Source organism: Homo sapiens, chromosome 10 (assembly GCF_000001405.40).
Source record: "Homo sapiens chromosome 10, GRCh38.p14 Primary Assembly".
NCBI classification, from domain to species: domain Eukaryota; kingdom Metazoa; phylum Chordata; class Mammalia; order Primates; family Hominidae; genus Homo; species Homo sapiens.
The window spans coordinates 1441300-1461451 of NC_000010.11; the positions used below are offsets into that span (position 1 = coordinate 1441300).

Genomic DNA, 20152 nt, shown 5'->3' on the forward strand with positions numbered 1-20152 from the left:
TCCTATCTGCTGTTTTTATTGTTTTTGCTTCAGATGCACTGTTTTTAACATAAGCTTTCTAACATCTGAAAGAAAGAAGAGTTAGTGTGGTTAATCTTTCAGAATAAAGAGACAACTTCTCAGAGGAAAGAAGATTTGATGCAGAAAACCCATTGTTTACATATGATTATTTGTTTTGGAAGACACTCAATAATAAATAATAACAGTTAAAGATATTTTCCAAGTCCTTTAGACATATTATGTCATTAAACTCACATTCAATCCTTCCTATGAAGTAGGTATTACTCTTCACTTACACAAAATCACACAGGAAGTAAATCAATCATTTTTACTTATTCTCATGACATATTTGTCTTTTTTTCTGTGACAATCTATTAATGTTGTAAAATCAAAAGAAATTTTAAAATTTGTTGAAATGTTGACGCTTCCCATGCTTAATAATGTATAGAATCTCCTTTAATTTTCAAAATTGACATTGATAATAGGATATTCATCTCTGTATTTTACGCAGATGAGGGAATTGAGCTTAGAGAAATTAAGAAACTTGTGCTAATTCTGTTATTCTGAATTCTCTCCTTATACTGTGGAAATAAATATTCATTTGATTTTATATTACAAGTCAATTCCCAAGTAAATGTGTGGATATTCAACACCCTGGTCCCAATTAACAATGAAGAAACAAAACAAAACAAAATTCAGTTTCAGTCTGATTTTTAACCAATGCATGATAAAACATCCTTGAAATAGGATCTTTCTCTAACTTGCCCATAACTATAAAGTTAAATACCCCATGGGGTATATTACGCTAATAAAATTTAAACAATATAACTGTGTAAGATCTGGATTATTCAAAATTTCTGCAACAGCTTATCTCCTTATTACCCTGTCCCAATAAATAGTTTCCCTTTTTCCAAGAACCCCTTCTGGGGAAGATCAGAAGACAGCTCAGGTTTCCCTCCTTGGTAGGTGTGGTTTCCTAATGTCTTTGTCAAATTTCTCCCTGGTTAGGTCTTGTCTGTGTCCCCACCACTAAGCATCACCCTGTGGAATTCATGTCTTCACATTTTAATCTAAATTTTAAGTTTCCTCTGTGTTAGTATATGTTAATGTTTCATGTTTTCAGTGTGGAGCTCAAACCACAGGCCTGCTAGAGATGGCCATGCTGTGCTTGAAGCCAAACTGAAAAAACAAAAACATCCACACACAAAATAGAAAACCAGACATTTTCACTTAATAGCTACTCTCTCAGTTCAAATAATGACAGTGTTATTCCAGGCTCACCCAAGTGCTACCCCGACAATAAACATTCTTATAAAATGAAAGGACCAGCAGTCGTACTCTTGAGAGTGAGACACTGTTCTTATGAGATTAAATGAAAAGATCAATAAGAACCAAGCTACCTGTTATACTGTATATGGTAAAAGCACAGAAGATAGAAAAGTTCAGTTTAACACTTTGCCGTTTTGATTTTTTTTCTTGGAAAACTTGGGAGAGAAACAGAGAATTCTGACCCAGTATAAAATAAACAGACCAAGAGATGCTCGAGGGGTATGACCACCTGAGCTGAATGGACAAGAGGAAAAACAAAAACAAGGAAGATGGGGAAATGCAATGAGCCAGTCTGAAAAGCGAGTTGACTGTACTTAAACTGATAGAAGACAGTAAAGTAAATGAGATGGGACAAGAGCAAAGAGGGATGAAAACTACTTCAGCACAAAAGACTAAATTGAAATAACACCTACAATGGGTTGGGAAGGCCTGGAGAGAAGTGAATGAATAAAAACAACAAACAAACAAACAAACAAACAACGGAAACTTCTAGGATGACACCAAGTACAAAGTGATGTAAATTTTTCCTCTAAGTAGGCATAGGCCAAGGGGGAAAAACACCCAAATTCAAAGCTTATTTTTCTGTCCTGTGCTTGGGACTCATTTTTCCTTAGGAGAGCTTTTGCCCCATTTCATGTGGGAGAATGTGAGAAACCTGGAACCTACATCTGGTTCTTGCTGAAGACCTTTCTTTGCCATTTATGCTCCCTCAAAACTAACTGTCTTCAGTTTCCTTTCTTATTATGCAGGCGAATTAATTCTTTAATGTTAATAATATATTCCATTTGTTAAATATTATACAGTTTTTGGTCTGCCATTCCTAACAACTTCTTTGATTCCCCTTGCAAATTGAATTAGTATTTTTATTTAACCATGTCCTTCAGTTTTCAAGTTCTTCAGCTATTGAAGGAATCGCCTCTGTGTGTGGGACCAGAGGACAATGAAAAATTCAACACCTTTCTAGTCACCATTTTAATGTTTTAAGACTATTAAGACATTAATAGAAACCTCCTTTTTTTCAGATATCAGTATGAGTTTAGCTGATTTCGCAGCTAATTCCTAATAGCTTGGACTTAAGTGAGAATAAAAGGTTCAAGAGTAAAAATCGATTAAATGAGAGTTATCTAAGAATATTGAGAAAGCCATTGCAAGAGATGATAAAAACTAAATAAAAGGAAGACTCGAAGTCAGTAGATTATCTTTTTCTGGAGAGTATTAGAAAAAAAGGAAGGTAAAGAAATGTTTCCTTATTCAGCATGGGGGAGTACAAATCTACCACTATTGCAGGTTAACACAAATGCTATTCACCCATCCACCTATCTATCTGTCTGTCCATCTATCCATCCATCCATCCACCCACTCATTCATCCATCTGTCCATCCACCCATCCATCCATCCATCCATCCATCCATCTATCCATCCATGCACCCACACACCACTCTATCCATTCACCATCCATCTACATCCATTCTTCTATCCATCTATTCATCCATCTATCCATCTACCCACCCACTCACTCATTCATCCATCCATCCACCCACCCACTTACTCATTCATCCATCCATCCACTCACCCACTCATCCATCCATCTATCCATCCATCCACCCACCCATCTATCCATCCATTCACCATCCATCTATTTCCATCTATCTACATCCATCCATCCATCCATCCATCCATCCACTCATTCATCCTTCCATCCACCCAGCCATCCACTCACCCATCCACTCACCCATCCCATCCATCCATTCACCATCCATCTATCTACATCCATCCATCTATCCATCCTCTATCCATCCACCCACCCATCCATCCATTGATCATCCATCTATCTACATTCTCCTTCCATCTAACCATCCATCCACCCACACATCCATTCATCCACCCACTCATCCATCCACTCACAATCCATCCATCTACATTCATCCATCCATCCATCCACCCACCACTCTATCTATTCACCATCTTTCTATCTACCTCCATTCTCCCATCCATCTATTCATCTGTCTATCCATCCACCCACCCATTCACTCATTCATCCATCCATCCATCCACCCACTCACTCATTCATCCATTCATCCACCCACCCACTCATCCATCTATCTATCCATCCATCCATCCACCCATCTATCCATCCATTCACCATCCATTTCCATCCATCCACCCACTCATTCATTCTTCCATACACCCAGCCATCCACCCACCCACCCCATCCATCCATTCACCATCCATCTACATCCATCCATCTATCCATCCACCCACCCATCCATCCACTGACCATCCGTCTACATTCTCCTTCCATCTATCAATCCATCCACCCACCCATCCATTCATCCACCCACTCATCCATCCACTCACAATCCATCCATCTACATTCATCCGTCCATCCACTCACCCATCCATTCACTCATTCACCATCCATCCATCTACATTAATCCTTCCCTCCATTCATCCATCCACCCACCCACCCATCTATCCATCCATCCATCCATCCATCCATTTACCATCCATTCACTCACCATCTATCTATCTACATTCATGTTTTCATTCATCCATCCACCCACCAACCCATCCATCCATCCACACACCCATCCATTCATTCACCACCCATCCATCTACATCCATTCTTCCATCCATCCATCCATCCACCCACCCACCCATCTATTCATTCACCATCCGCCTACATCCATCCTTTCATCTGTCCATTCGTTATTCATCCCTCTACATCAATTTATCCTTCCATCCATCCATTCATCCACCCATTCATCATCCATCTACATCCATCCATCCTTCCATCTATCCACGCATCTATCCATCCATCCACCCACCCATCCACCCACCCATCCATTCACCACCCATCCACCCATTCTTCCATCCATCCATCTGTCCACTCATCCTTCTGTCCATACATCTAAACTCATCCATCCATCTGTCCTTCCATTATTTACATGTTGCATGTACTCACTAGTAAATCACATGCTGTGAGGAAATCAGAAATTTAATATAGAACCATGCTCTTAAAAACTTATTTTTTAGTTGAGAAAATTAAAAATTGCCAGTTAAGTAGGAGAATACGCTTTCAGTGGTGCAAATAAGAACAGTAGTGGTCAAAGAAAAGGAAAGTTAAAAGGTGACTGGAGAGGCCAGGGAATGAGCTAATGGGCTAATAAGCTGACCTGTGTGATGGAAGGAGGTTTGTTAAGAGTGAGACATACGGTTGATGATTTGGATAAGATAGTTATGCAATGTAAATGACAAAACTCTATAGTGGGTCATTCAATATTTTAGGGGAAGGAAAAGCAGGTGAAAAATCCGTAGCTTTTCTTTCGATATTATAGTCCAAAGTGAGACTACATAAACTCTCTCTCACCATGTAAAGCTCCTACTCCCTAGAGTAAGGTTCTATCTTTAACACTGTAGGACGAGGAATGGAAGGGAGGGGGTGAAGGAAACATGAGGTCATTAAGTTAATGCTTTGCGTTGTCATGGACCAGGACAAGAAGGCTGAAATAAGGTTGTGTTTTTGTTCTTCCACTTTCTGGACAAAATTCTTTGGGCAAGTCATTTAGTCTTTCTGAACCTGTGCGTCTCCATTTCTGGAATGGAAATATTATTATTTTTATGACTACGACTACCTCAGATGATTATTGTGAAGATGGGAAAGAATTCTGTGAACTACCCAAATGGTACCCCCAATACACAAATCGTCATAGTAAGAAAAATAGCACCCCAGCTTTCTGGACATTTGTACAAATGTACAAGCTATGTTACATGCACCTGTTTATTCAGTCTTCACAATGACTTTATGACACAGTTGTTACTATTTTTCCCACTTAACAAATGGGCAAACTGAGGCAGAGCTTTTCAGTGGCACAGTGGGTAAGTATGAGTGCTGAGGTCAGGGCTTAGGCGGGGGCGAAGGCATGCAGGGAGGCGGTGCTGAAGCAGGAGACACGCTGGGCACAGAGGCAGAAAGCCTGGGCTCCCATTCCTGTTTGTCAGTGAATAGCTGTGCTCCTCAGGGCAGTCACTTGAACTCTGTGTGCCAGTTTTCATACTTTTTAAAGGAATAATTTTTCATCTCTCTTACAGTGTTCTCGTGACAGTTAAAACGTTCTTGTATGCAAGTTCGCCTATTATAGTGCTTGGTTCAGAGTGGACTTTGATAAGTTTTGCTTTCTTGTGAACATATTCAACGATTTCTCACTTATTGATACTCCTGCCAAAGTGCCTGACTTAGGCCCCGGGAGGGTTGATGGCCTCAGAGGGTTTCGACCTACGCAATTGTCAAGGGTTTATTTCATTCTTCTTAATTGAATTATAGCGCTTGGGTTCTTGAAGCTCATGACTTCATTTAGGAAATATTTGAAAATTGATTATTTAATCACTTAATTGTAAAACACGAATGAAATTTCTTAGTTAATTAAAGCTGTGGATAATAATTTAATTATAACTTTATATGCCAGATTTACTCAAAGCATCTTAAGGATGAGGATTCAATTAGCAGCCTTCGGATGCACGGGTCAGTGGGATACTACCTACAGCAACGCGTGGAATGGCTTAGAGCAGCATAGCTAGCAGCGCTTTATAACAGAAGCTTGGAGAGCAGGACACAGCTTCTGGCTCCACAGGTATCTGAGATTATCCTGGAAAAATTATTTAACCTCTTTAGGTTTCAGTTTTCTCATCTGTAAAATGGGATTTTTATATCTCTTTCCAAAAGATATTGTAAGGATCAAGTTATTTTCCCCTGTGGCTCATGGCAGGTAACAACCAACCTGGCTCTCAGGTGTGGGGAGAAAGGAGATGGCTGTAAAGGATGTCACTGTCATTCCACCAGGCAGAACACAATGGGAAGAGAGTACAGAAGTCCAGCCATACAGCTTCTGCATTTTTGAGTGAAGACAGATCATATGTAATTTTTTTTTTGTGTTTGTTTTGTTTGGTTGCTTTTTAAAATGTGATTGCAGCTTCAGGGGTACATGTGCAGGTTTGTTATACAGGTAAACTTGTGTCACGGGGGTTTGCTGTACGGATTGTAATGGCACCAGGTAATAAGCATAGTACCTGATTGGTAGTTTTTTGATCTCCATCCTCCTTTCACCTCCAACCTCAAGCAGGCCCTGGTGTCTATTGTTTCCTTTTTCATGTCCCTGTGTTTTCATCATTTAGCTCCTGCTTACAAGTGAGAGCTTGTGGTATTTGGTTTTCTGTTGCTGTGTTAGTTTGCTTAAGATCATGGCCTCCAGCTTCACCCACGTTGCTGCAAAAGACATGATCTTGTTCTTTTTTATAGCTGCATAGTATTGCATGGTATCTGTGTAGCACATTTTCTGTATCCAGTCTACCACTGATGGGCATTCAGGTTGATTCCATGTATTTGCTATTGTGAATAGTGCTGCAATGAACATATGTGTGCATGTGTCTTTATGGTATAGAAAAACAGTATTACAAACCTATAGGCTAAATTGATGTTCTTTAGTTATCGAGGGGGAAAGATAATTATATCCTTGGTGGTGTTTGATTTGTGTAATACAGATGTTTGAAACAAACATGTTAGTGGTGTTGGAAAACATATAAGACAGTATCTATGAAGAGGCGAGGGGAAGATTAGGTTTTGGGCTGACAGGCTCTCTCTACCTCCATGAAACAAATGTGAATGAGACACAGGGTATGGCTCCCTTTGATATTTAAATGTTAAGTGTCTACTCCAAAGTGAACATGGGTTTTATGTATATGCATGTGTCAGGACTCCCTTCATGAATATCCACAGCTCCTTCTGTCACCTGTTGACTATGTATGTTTAGCCAACCTATTCAGCATAGAGCTGCTGCCCAAATCCCTCCTCCTTGGAAGTGCCCATTTCTGGTCTTGGCAGGAAGCTCTTCTTCCCAGCCTGTGAGATTGCCATGCTTCTCTCAGGTGCTTTCTTATGAAAGTTTTCACAGATCATTTGCATGGTAATAGGGTGCATGGACAAGCCCATCTCACATAGCTTCTTATGTTAACATCTTTATTTCCTGCAGATTGAACCTAGAAAGACTGGTTGGGCCAGACATGTAAGTTTCCCTCAGTCCAGCAGCTAAGCAGGAACTCTGTGCCTTATATGGCCTTGGAAAGGAAACCGTGCTTGGTCTAAATCAACAGCTTTCCTTTGTCGACCTAGCACTGCTGGACTGTAATACTAACTTTAAATCAAAGGAGCCATACCCCCCCAGAAGCCACCGCCTTCCCACCAACAGCCAGAGCCTCAGCCTGCCGACCCCATGACTGACATCTCAGGGGTCCCCAGCTCATCTTGTAAGCATGACCACCCTGTGCACACTGCACCACAGGACACACATGCAGCCTGATCCTGCCCATACACTCTGGAGAAGCGAGTTCGGGGAGAAAAGGGTTCTGGGTAATTGTGTCCTGCACACCGGGATTCAAGAATGAATGGTTGCGGTCACTGGTGGTCCTGCCTCCATCCTCGGTCTTTCCATGAGTCTGGATGAGACCAGGTCCCCCTCACCCGAGTGACCCCCACTCCTTTTCTTTATTGCCAGGAACAGTCAGCCCCACATGCTATTATCAACAACTGTCACTTTCCCACATTTGCCCAAGACTCTGCCTCGGTCAGGGCTGCCCTTTGGCCAGTATCCCTTAGTTTTGTATTAGGATCTGGTGAGATCTCCCAGCTGGACCCCGTGCCCCTTCACTTCCCCGTGACCCATCCTGTATCAGCCTATATCATTCAGCTGCCCCCTCCACTGTGCTGAGTGTGTGCAATGCATCCCCATGGTAAAAGTTCTTCAGAAGTCCCATATCCATTGGTCCTGTGTGTTTTCTCCCCTTTTATCCCAGGTGTCTCCTGTGACTTCTGCTTCCTCTCCCCTAATTCCTTTCAGGACCCTCTGCACTAGCACATCAGATAGCTTCATAAAGTCTCCTGGAGCAGAAATTAGATGCTCATCCAGAGAGAATTCCCAGAGGAGAAGCCGAAGAGAACATGTCTGAAATCTCATGCAAATCCCTGAGAGTCAGGACCTCATGGGAAGAAATTCAATGTATTCCTTTAAAGGCGGGGACACAGTGAGGCTCATCCTCAGGGCTTTGTGCAAAGTGCTTCCCTCCAGATTGAAATATAGGCCGTATCTCCAGGTCCAATTTAATCTCTATTAGGCACTCAATGGCTAAATTAAGGACTTTACGGATACCTAATTTAGATAAACCCTTAACTATTAACCTCCAATAATGTCATCATTTCACTGAGTAGAAAAGAAAACATCTGGGTGAGTTCAATTAGCCAAGGGCATGGAGGAGAGGCCTGCACAGTGCCTGTGCATGCTAATTTTGTCTCGCTGACCCTGACGGAGGGGCTGGCTGCAAGGAGGCCGTGGCCAGCATGACGCTTGAATGGAAGGAGGCTGCCGCCAGTATGACGCTTGAAGGTGGCCACCCTGCCCTCCTGGGAAGAGCTTCCCGAGAGTCTCCACACTGAGAGCACAGGTGGAGGCTCCCGTCGAGAGGGAGCTCCCCACGCTCCCGTCGAGAGGGAGGGAGGAATTCCTCCTGCATAGCCCTGGTCCTCAGTTACAAGCCTGCTTCTTTTCCTGCCCTCTGAAAATGAGGACAACTCATCTTATTTTATGCAATTATAGTCTGTTACATAAAAGACACTAATAATCTTTGGAAAATCATTATGGGTGTGTCTGTCCACTTCGTTTCCTGCTGCTGGAAGGGTGCTTTTTCTTTAGCCGCTGTGGCTGCATTTTGGTTGCTGTAGGAGGCATGCAGAGCTGCCCCTGCCTCCCACTCTCGTGGCTTCGGTGATGATTCAGCACCGGACTCTGATGTCGGATGCCCGGATGGTGCCTCCTGCACCTGCAAATGCCTCCCTCGCCCCCTTGGATCTGTCACTTATTGTGTTCACATCTACCGTTTGCTGGCTCCTTTTGTTGAGGATGTCTGGTTCTTCCCCAGGGGAAACTGATCACAAAGAGGACTGAACAAGAACAGGCTGCCTAAAGCTATTTGACGAGGATCTGAGTGCAGGTGGATTTATTCTGAAGGTCATGGCAGGGAACATGGGTGAGTGGCGAGGAAGGGAGGTGAGGGGAGACAGAAGCCCCTGCTTGCATGGGGCCCCTGGGGCTTTGGGGGCTGCAGGAGCATGCCTTGGTGTTGTTCCAGCCTGAAAACCCAAGATTTGGGGTGTTATCTGCCACCTGACCCTCCACGAGCTGAAGGCTGCTGCTGAGGGGTGGGAAAGTGGTGACTTTTGGGTGACCCCACTGGCCCTCACCATAGCTGGGCACAGCACACAGTCAGATGTGCTGTCAGGGAGCTCCTGCGAATAGGCACAGCAGCCTTGAGAAAAGCAGAGGGAGCTGATGGTGTCTGCTGTGTGCAAGCCAGAAACACAGAGAGATGTGTGTGCCAACAAAACCTGGAAAATAACCATGTCCTCATAGCCTGGGGACTCTGGGAAGTCCTACAGCAAAGAAGAAGCCTGGTCTGCCCATCTTTGTGTGACAAGTGTTTGCAGGAAATAGTTCATCAAAAAACACTTTTTCTCAGGAGACAACTAGGAATCACCTAGGACACACTATGAAATGGTGAACCAGCGATACAGGTGAAAGTGCCCTCCCAGTATGGGAAAGACGGCAGAGTATTCAACAGGGACACAGGAGCGGTGTTTATCCTCTGGAGGGAGCAAACAGTGGAGTGTGCACCTCACTCAGCCACCAACTTTGCACCTGGCGGTGCTGCCCTGACACCTGAGGACTCATAGGGCCAAGTGAGGCTCAGAGTCTGAGGCAACTTGGACTGATCCTTAGGTGGACAGCAGGATGACAGCCACCTGTGCAGGAAGAGGGAACACAGCTGCAGAGAAGGGGACACACCTGTATGAGGAGGGGACACACCTGTTTGAAGAGGGGACACACCTGTATGAGGAGGGGACACACCTGTATGAGGAGGGGCTCACCTGTATAAGGAGGGGACACACCTTCCTGAGAAGGGGACACACCTGTATGAGAAGGGGACACACCTGTATAACAGGGGACACACCTGTATGAGGAGGAATTACACCCATATGAGGAGGGACACACCCATATGAGGAGGAAGTATACCCGTATGAGGAGGAAGTACACCCATATGAGGAGGAAGTACACCGAACATACTTGCAGAGGAAGGGAGCCCCCACCATGTGCCAGGGCCCCATGGACATGAGATCATGAGAGACATCTGGTCTGTCTTCTCGCCCACATGTGAGACAGATGGGAAGTTCCAGCATTTTGTTTATAGACTTAGAGAAGGGAATGAGTGGATATTTTTTTTTAGAGAGGTCACAGGACATCTCAGTGGCTTGTTAAAGGACAGCCTTATGAACGGTACCTAGGAATCACGGATGTGGAGTTGGAGGCAGTGTGGGAGCTGAGGGGAGGCCTGCTGCCATGCACCCCTGCTGGTCAGAGCAGATGCCTGGCCAGGAGGCTGACACACCACCTTCAGATTTGGCCGCTGCCACCATCACACCTCTGGGTGTAGTTTGATCCGAGACAGCAGCTTTCCAGCTGCGGGAATTCAGTGGCATGATGACAGCATACACAGGGAGACGGCAAATGTGAAAGCACTGGTCAACTGTCGCACATGTAAATCTAAGTCCATGGCCCACAAAAATCAGCTCTGTGTCTTGGGTTTGAATAATTGTGGGAAAAATAGTAATAATAATAATAACAATAATAAAAAAACTTCTTGGTTTTCTCTCTCTCCATGACTTTCTAGTTCTTTTACTCAGCTCAAAAACTTTCTTAGAAATACAGGTGATGCCATGGAATACTATGCAGCCATAAAAAAGGTTGAGTTCATGTCCTTTGCAGAGACATGGATGAAGCTGGAAACCATCATTTTCAGCAAACTAACACAAGAACAGAAAACCAAACACTGCATGTTCTCACTCGTAAGTGGGAGCTGAACAATGAGAACTCATGGACACGGGGGTTGGGGGGGGGAATATCACACACTGGGGCCTGTTGGGGGGTTGGGGGATAGGGGAGGGACAGCACTAGGAGAACTACCTAATGTAGGTGACAGGTTGATGGGTGCAGCAAACCACCATGGCACGTGTATACTGTGTAACAAATCTGCATGTTCTGCACATGTACCCCAGAACTTAAAGTATAATAAAAAAAGAAGACATGAAAAAAAACCTTTTGTATTTTTAGTGAGCTTATGCAGCTAATAAATTCATTTAAAAAAGAAATACAGGCAACAGCAGTGGCTCTCCACATCAGTGTGTGACAGTCACCAGGCTTTGTCACAATGCATCCTGGTGGGCCGCGCAGAGCCTGGGCCTCAGTGGGGTTGGGCCGGGCCTGACAATCTGCATTTCCAGCACGTCCCAGGTGCCACTGCTGCTGTCATTGGGGCCACACTTTGAGGACCCTGGGTCTGTGACGCCTAGTCCCTTACCTAGAATTTAATTCCACATCCTCTCTTCCCTCCCCCACGTCTGCAAAACGTGGCCTTGAAGGAGTTGTATCAGCAAGACGTTAGACAAGGCAGCTCTTCCCTGTCTCCCCATGGAAAAACCAAGTAAATCATGGGCTTTTCCCTTTGCTGATTGTGCCCTTTGATGCTCAAGACATTTTTAATGTGATGACGTTCAATTTCTTTCTGCCTTTTGTTTCTTGAGCTTTTGGTGTCACATCCGAGAAATTCATTTGCCAAATCCAATGTCATGACGCTTCCCCTATGTTTTCTTCTAAGAAGGTTTTAGCTCTTACATTTAGATCTTTGATCCATGTTGAATTGATTTTTGTATATGGTGTAATGTAAGGGTTTAACGTCATTCCTTTGGATGTGAATATCCAGGTTTCTTAGCACTGTTTCTTGAGAACACTGTCCTCTCTCCACTGAATGGTCTCGGTACCCTTTTCGAAAAGGCAACCCACAGAATGGGAGAAAATACTTGCAAATCATAGATCTGATACGAATTGGTTTCTAGACAATATTAAAAATTCCTACTACTGAACACACACACAAAACAAAGAATCTAATTAAAAAATAGGCACAAGACTTGAACAGACGTTTCTCCAAAGAAGGTAAACAAACAGCCAGTACGCACACGGAAAGAAGCTCAACGTCACTAATCATTAGGGAAATGCAAACCAAAACTGCGAGTTACCGCCTCATACCCACTGGAATGGCTACTGCAAGGGTTAGTGAGAATGTGGGAAAAAATGGAACGCTGTGCACTGATGGTGGGAATGTAAGATGGTGCAGCTGCTCTAGAAAATGGTGTGGCTATTTTCAGAAAATTAAAAATAAAATTGCCATATAGTCAAGCAATTCTTCTAGTTATATAGTGTATTGGTCTGCTCTCATGCTGCTAATAAAGACATACTTGAGACTGGGTAATTTATAAAGGAAAGAGGTTTAATGGACTCACAGTTCCACATGGCTTGGGAGGCCTCACAGTCATGGCAGAAGGGGAATGAGGAGCAAAGTCACATCTTACATGGCGGCAGGTAGGAGAGCGTGTGCAGGGGAACTGCCCTTTATTAAACCATCAGATCTCGTGAGATATTTTCACTGTCATGAGAACAGCATGGGAAAGACCCACCCCCATGATTCAGTTACCTCCCACTGGGTTGCTCCTATGACACTGGGAATTGTGGGAGCTACAATTCAAGATGAGATTTGGGTGGGAACACAGAGCCAAACCATATCATAGACCCAACGAAATTGAAAGCAGGGACTTGAAGAGAATTTATACATCCATATTAATGGCAGCACAATTTATGATGGGCAAAATTTGGAAGCATCTATCCATTGACAGATGAATGTGCAAAGAAAATGTGGAATATCTACTATTCAGCTGAAAAAGGAAGAACATTCTGACACATGTTACAACATGGATGAACCCTAGGGACCATCTACAATGGAAACTAAGCCAGTCACAAAAGGACAAACAATGAACAATGTCACCTGCATGAGGTCCCTAGAGTCCTCACACCCACAGAGACAGGAAGCAGAGGGTGGTTGCTGGGGCCGGGGAGGGTAACGGGCTTAATGTTTCGTGGAGACAGTTTCAGTTCTGGAAGATGAAACTTTCTGTAGACGGATGGTGGTGATTGCTCACGACTGTGTGAATGTACTTAGTGCCACCGACCTATACACTCAAAAGTGGATCAGAGGGTACATTTTGTGTTATGTATATTTTACCATAATTTAAAAAAAGAACAGAAAAAAGAAGACCCTTGCTGAGCTTTACAAGCAACTCAGTCTTGTCTTCAAATATTCTTCATGAATTGAGATGGTGCCAGGTTGCTGTTTAATACCAACAAGCGACAGAGGAAATTCTAAATAAGTTTAGTCACGTTGTAGAAATTTGCTTACGAAACACGAGACTGGAATCAAACTCCTTTAGGGCTTTTCCCCCTCAGTGGAAAGAGTGGATACCTTGTCACTGAACAACGTGATTTTCCCAGGTACAGTTTATTTACAGGCAAAGCCACATCCTGCTTACACTTATGAATAGTTGGCAGCTGGCTTTAGTGAGGATGGATTGCAGGTGAGAGGAGGAACTTTGTTAAGGACCAGATGCTTCCCTGTTCTTTTGCCAGGTGCAAATCAAGCGCCACCTGGAAGAAATGTAATCATTTGAAATGTCTTTAAAAATAGTCACTCTCTGAATTTAAAATGTTAATTTAAAACAATTATGATGAGCAAAATAATTAGGAAATACAGACTTCCTAAGTTAGGGAGCCAGGCTATTCAGACTATGATGATATTGAATTACTTATGTATCATGGATGAAGCAGCTAGATCTAAATGAACAAAAATAAAAAAAAAGAGAAAACAGAAGATTAAAAAGATTAAAAAGAAAACAATTTGATGTGTCTTTATGGAAAGTTAAGCTCTGGCCAGAGCTAAGTTGGAGGTATTGCTGTTTCTTTCTCTAAAAAAGTTTAATGTGTTCGATCCAGTTTTTTCATAGCATTAGAAAAACTCTTTTTGGGATTGTTACTTTTTTAAAAATTAATATTCTTACTACTACTATATTTGAGGGAACTGAGCCATTTACGATTGTCAATTTCCAAATTTCTTCATGGATACAGATTCATTTCTGATTCATTGAACTGCAAACTTATTTTTTATAGGGAAGAACTGACCAAAAGCAAGCGATTTTTATATCTAGAAACTATTCCCCCCTTCTGTCTATTTCTCACCTATCACCACACAAATACGTCTTCCATGAACGCAAGCAAAATAACAAATAATATTAAACAAAAGGGATTCGTTTTTCTTTAATGTATGTCACTTAAAGGATTGTACTAGTTCAGAACTTGGCGAACTCATGCATAGAAGAGTGGTTGAAAAGTTTCACTTATAATAGCACATTCAGAATAGATCATATGGCTATAATTATTTGTATGCTTTTCCAGGCACATTAACTAAGCTAAACTCAATACATCATTTCATGCATAATTAAAGATTTAAGATCAATGAAACTTACTCTCTTTATCTAGTTTCACCTAGGGACCCGGCGAGGGAAAAAGCTTAGAAAACTTTTTAGACGTTATCTACTAGTAAGAACGGAAACCACTGTAATTCCTTGTCCCTGTGTTAAACAATACTGGGACCAGCAAAAGGATCTTCCCTGATTTCTCCAGGAAGTACCTGCCCGTGAGAGCTAAGCCTAGGAACCAACCAACCAAGTCACTTCCTTCTCAACACCAGCAACGGCTCCTGGAGGCTCCTGCCCGGAAGACGTCTGCTCTTCCTACCAACCTAAAGTTTCCTCATTAACTTTGCTCCATACAAGCCAGTTCTTGGCTCTCATGCCTCCCGTCCCCGGCCCAAAACCTATGAACACCCCACACTAATTTTCTGCTCTTAGCTCTTGCCAGGCTGCAACCCCCACCTCTCTCCAGGGGGTCTCGTGAACCCAGCTCTGCCTCAGCAACGATCCTGCAAGGGACCATTTTGGGGACTTGAAGGTTGATGGAATTAATCATCAAGGTGTGCTCGAGACGCGCGGGGCGTGGTAAAAAGGGTCACTAGTGGCCCTTTCTTGCCCTTTCCCCTTAAACATATTTCTCTTTTACTTTGGGTAAAATAAATAGTTGAGACTTCTGTAAGAAAATAGGATCTTCTGACTGCCCGAGAAAGATCAATTTGTGTTTTTCTTTTGAGACAGAGTCTCGCACTGTTGCTGGGGCTGGAGCGCAATGGCACGATCTTGGCTCACTGCAGCCTCCCCATCCCAGGTTCAAGCGATTCTCCTGCCTCAACCTCCCGAGTAGCTGAGATTACAGGCAAGCGCCACCACGCCTGGCTAATTTTTTGTATTTTTAGTAGAGACGGGGGTTTCACCATCTCTGCCCGCCTCGGCCTCCCAAAGTGCTGGGATTACAGGTGTGAACCACTGTGCTGGCAGAAAGATCAATTTCTTTTCTTGGAAAGAGATGACATGGCACAATCTCCTGGGACAGGTTTTCATCCTAAATGATACATTTTGCCTGAACAAAATAAAACCACTCAAAACTACAAAGGAAATCTTCAGAGAATAATTTTCTGGACAACTGGAATAAGAAATAAATTTAGACATAAGGCTCAGCTTGCTGCAGAGGAGTGGTGAGCATGAGGGCTGGCCAGGGCGCTGGACACGACCATTGAGACACACCAGTGTCCACCTCTAACCCTGATTCCAGGAGGGTTCCGAGTTCGCTGGGACAAGCCATCCTCACTTTAAGGTGCCTTCTCATCTCAGGGTCTTTGTCTTCTGATGCTCCTGGGGCCAGGCTTCTCCCAGCTGTGGGTGGAAGGTGCACCCCATTAACCCACACACATAAAAGCGTATTGCTGCAGCTTAGGAGTCTCTGCTATGACTCGGGAAATAAAATGGAATCTTGGGACCCCACACTCACTCTGCCAAAAAGAAAGTTACGCTTCAGAGCTGAGCCACGCAATACTGCTTTCCTTTTGTTCCTGGACACAGAGCTACAATTCCACAGCCTCATCTCTAAGCCAGGTTCCCACAGTGACAGAAGGCCACATAGCTCCCTGATGGCCTCCCTCACAAACTGCTCACAACGAAATTCCTGGTGAACTCCTAAATCCCTCAGCCTTTCAGGATAGATATCCCCCTGTTTCTAGCCCTAAGACTGAGTTCTGTGGAATCTCACCCTGACAATGTCAATGACCAGCTCGTCTTCATAGGTAGAGGGCAAAGACTGGAACAAAAATCATCCCTCCACCCAACCCGAGGCGAATGCATCATTGGCCTTTTCCTGCACCCCTTCTCTTTGCACGTAAAATGTAGATTCACATCAAAGCCTCCAAGAACGTAACCATTTGCCTCATTGCTTACCCTCCCTCCTTTCTCTCCTGCTCTTTCCCCTTTAAATATCGAAGTTCCCCAAACGCTCTTTAGAAAAGTCGCAGGTGATGGACACTCATGTGACTTTTGGTTCTTTTCCCAGACGCATCGTCACACTCAGGCCAAACAAACCTCTCTCAATGGAGGTGTCACTGTGGTGAACCCTCTCTAGGCACGTGTCCATCTGTCTGAACCTCTGGAGGTCTCCGCAGGAAGAACAGCGTGCACCCACATTTAAATTTCTTGCGAATACTTCCCATCTGCAAAATAGGATCTTCTGAAGCTTGCAGTTGCTGTCAATCTCCTGGCCCTAATGAGCTGCCAGGAGAAGAAGGAAAGGTCCCACTTGAGAGTGAAAACTTGGGGTCTCACAGCTTCTCTTTCTCTGATGAAACAATTGAGGCTTTTCTATGAAATTAAGCTTCTTTGCATTTTAATATATATTATAAGTTTTATTGATCACTAAAAACAATGAAAAAAAGAAAGTCAAGAAGCCCTGCTCAAGAACTGACAATGCCCCTCTTAGCCCTATCCTGGGAGAGGCTCACCTATGCAGAGGGAGGCCCCGCAGACCCCTTCTTCCTTCTCCACTTGGGGGTCCACCGCTATGGCTTCCACGGTGCCCTCTGGTCTGGCCTCTTTGCTTTTACATTTTTCTGCCTGCCCCTCACTCCAGGAGCTAAAAATCAATTAGTTCTTAAATAACGAGGGCGGTAGCCACCTACATGAACCTCATGGGGAAGGCTTCTGTAAAATGAAGACCCATCCAGCAGCGAACGTAGTTTTTTCCTCATGTGTACATTTCTAAGTTTAACACTAGATTTGCTACAAGTGTGACGGAACAAACACTCGACGGAACAAACACTCAAAGAACAAACATATTTAAAAAGGTACTTTTCAAAAGAAGACACTTATGCAGGCAACAATCATATGAAAAAAAGCTCAACATCACTGATCATTAGAGAAATGCAAATAAAAACTGTAATGAGGTACCATCTCACACAAGTCAGAATGGCTATTATTAAAAAGTCAAAAAATAACAGATGCTGGTGAGGTTGTGGAGAAAAAGGAACATTTAAACACTGTGGGTGGGAGTGCAAATTAGCTCAACCATTGTGGAAAGCAGTGTGGTAATTCCTCAAAGAACCATTTGACCCAGCAATCTCATTATTAATTATATACCCAAAGGAGTATAAATCATCTATCATAAAGACGTACGCACGTGTATGTTCACTGCAGCACTACTCACAATAGCAAGACATGGAATCAACATAAATGTCCATCAACGACAGACTGGATACGGAACATGTGGTACATATACACCATGGCGTACTATGCAGCCCTAAACAAAACTGAGATCATGTCCTTTGCTGGGACATGGATGGAGCTGGAGCCATTCTCCTTAGCAAATTAACATGGGGTCAGAAAACCAAACACCTCATGTTCTCACAAGTGAGAGCTAAATGGTGAGGACACAAGGGCCAGGCGCAGTGGCTTGTGCCTGTAATCTCAGCATTTTGGGAGGCCAAGGGGGGGTGGATCACCTGAGGTCAGGAGTTTGAGACCAGCCCGGCCAACATGGCCAAACCCCGTCTCTACTAAAAATACAAAATTAGCTGGGCGTGTGGCACATGCCTGTAATCCCAGGTACTCGGGAGGGTGAGGCAGGAGAATGACTTGAATCCAGGAGGCTGAGTTTGCACTGAGCCGGATTGGGCCATTACACTCCAGCCTGGGTGACAAGATTGAAACTCTGTCTCAAAAAAAAAGAATGATGAAGCCACATGGACTCAGAGAGGGGAACAACACACACTGGGGTTGTTGGAGGGTGGAGGCGGGAGGAGGGAGAGGATCAGGAAAAATAACGAATGTGCATGAGGCTTAACACCTGGCTGACATAATCTGTGCAGCAAACCTGCCTGTGACCTGAGTTTACCTGCGTTACGAACCTGCCTGTGACCTGAGTTTACCTGTGTAGCAAACCTGCCTGTGACCTGAGTTTACCTGCGTAACAAACCTGCCTGTGACCTGAGTTTACCTGTGTAGCAAACCTGCCTGTGACCTGAGTTTACCTGCGTAACGAACCTGCCTGTGACCTGAGTTTACCTGCGTTACGAACCTGCCTGTGACCTGAGTTTACCTGTGTAACGAACCTGCCTGTGACCTGAGTTTACCTGTGTAACAAACCTGCCTGTGACCTGAATTTACCTGCGTAACGAACCTGCCTGTGACCTGAGTTTACCTGCGTAACAAACCTGCCTGTGACCTGAGTTTACCTGTGTAACGAACCTGCCTGTGACCTGAGTTTACCTGCATAACAAACCTGCCTGTGACCTGAGTTTACCTGTGTAACGAACCTGCCTGTGACCTGAGTTTACCTGTGTAACAAACCTGCCTGTGACCTGAATTTACCTGCGTAACAAACCTGCCTGTGACCTGAGTTTACCTGCGTAACGAACCTGCCTGTGACCTGAGTTTACCTGCGTTACGAACCTGCCTGTGACCTGAGTTTACCTGCGTAACGAACCTGCCTGTGACCTGAGTTTACCTGCGTAACGAACCTGCCTGTGACCTGAGTTTACCTGCGTTACGAACCTGCCTGTGACCTGAGTTTACCTGCGTAGCAAACCTGCCTGTGACCTGAGTTTACCTGTGTAACGAACCTGCCTGTGACCTGAGTTTACCTGTGTAACAAACCTGCCTGTGACCTGAATTTACCTGTGTAGCAAACCTGCCTGTGACCTGAGTTTACCTGCGTAACAAACCTGCCTGTGACCTGAGTTTACCTGTGTAGCAAACCTGTCTGTGACCTGAGTTTACCTGTGTAGCAAACCTGCCTGTGACCTGAGTTTACCTGTGTAACGAACCTGCCTGTGACCTGAGTTTACCTGCGTTACGAACCTGCCTGTGACCTGAGTTTACCTGCGTAACAAACCTGCACATGGACCCCTGAACTTAAAAGTTAAAAAAAACAATTTTATGTGCAATACCGTGACAGGTTTTGTGGCTAAATTTAAATGTTAATTTGGACATTATATATTCTGTTGTTTTTGATTGTCTACTCAGATGAGAAAAGTAGTCAACGCAATCAACTTCCTTAAAATCAGTATCTGCTGCACGCCAGGGACAGCAACAGAAGAAATCATTTCAGCAACAACGTGACACTTCGAACCTCCAGAAGAAGTGCCATATCAATGACATCATGACAAACGCCCCAGACCGAATTATTTCTGTGTCAGAGTCACTCATTATGGCTCTGGCTCTTGCAGGTCATCTCCCATTTAGGAGAACTTGTCCTATTGTCTTCATCAGAACACGTGTACTTGTCAGGCCTGCAGTCCTGATGTTTGGTTCAGAAAATATGGTCACTGTAATTATAGCCCTTCCCGGGTGAGGAAATGAGAATCTGACTCGTAATCCTTTTATCATTGACTTGGATGACTTATTTCT

The 20152-nt window shown here is 43.9% G+C and overlaps 1 protein-coding gene across 1 annotated transcript in view, besides 1 other annotated feature; it reads right to left on the bottom strand.

Moving 5' to 3' along the window:
• The window catches only part of ADARB2 (adenosine deaminase RNA specific B2 (inactive)), a 560213-nt gene that overhangs the window by 263987 nt on the left and 276074 nt on the right, over positions 1-20152 (bottom strand). The gene's annotated exons all lie outside the window — the stretch shown is intronic.
• Positions 18311-19510: an enhancer, noted in NCBI's record as "BRD4-independent group 4 enhancer chr10:1501805-1503004 (GRCh37/hg19 assembly coordinates)". NCBI's record gives its function as "activates an origin of replication core promoter dependent on BRD2, P300/CBP, MED14 and CDK7 cofactors, and independent of BRD4, by STARR-seq in HCT116 cells {active_cell/tissue: HCT116}" and the evidence as "EXISTENCE:reporter gene assay evidence [ECO:0000049][PMID:35650434]".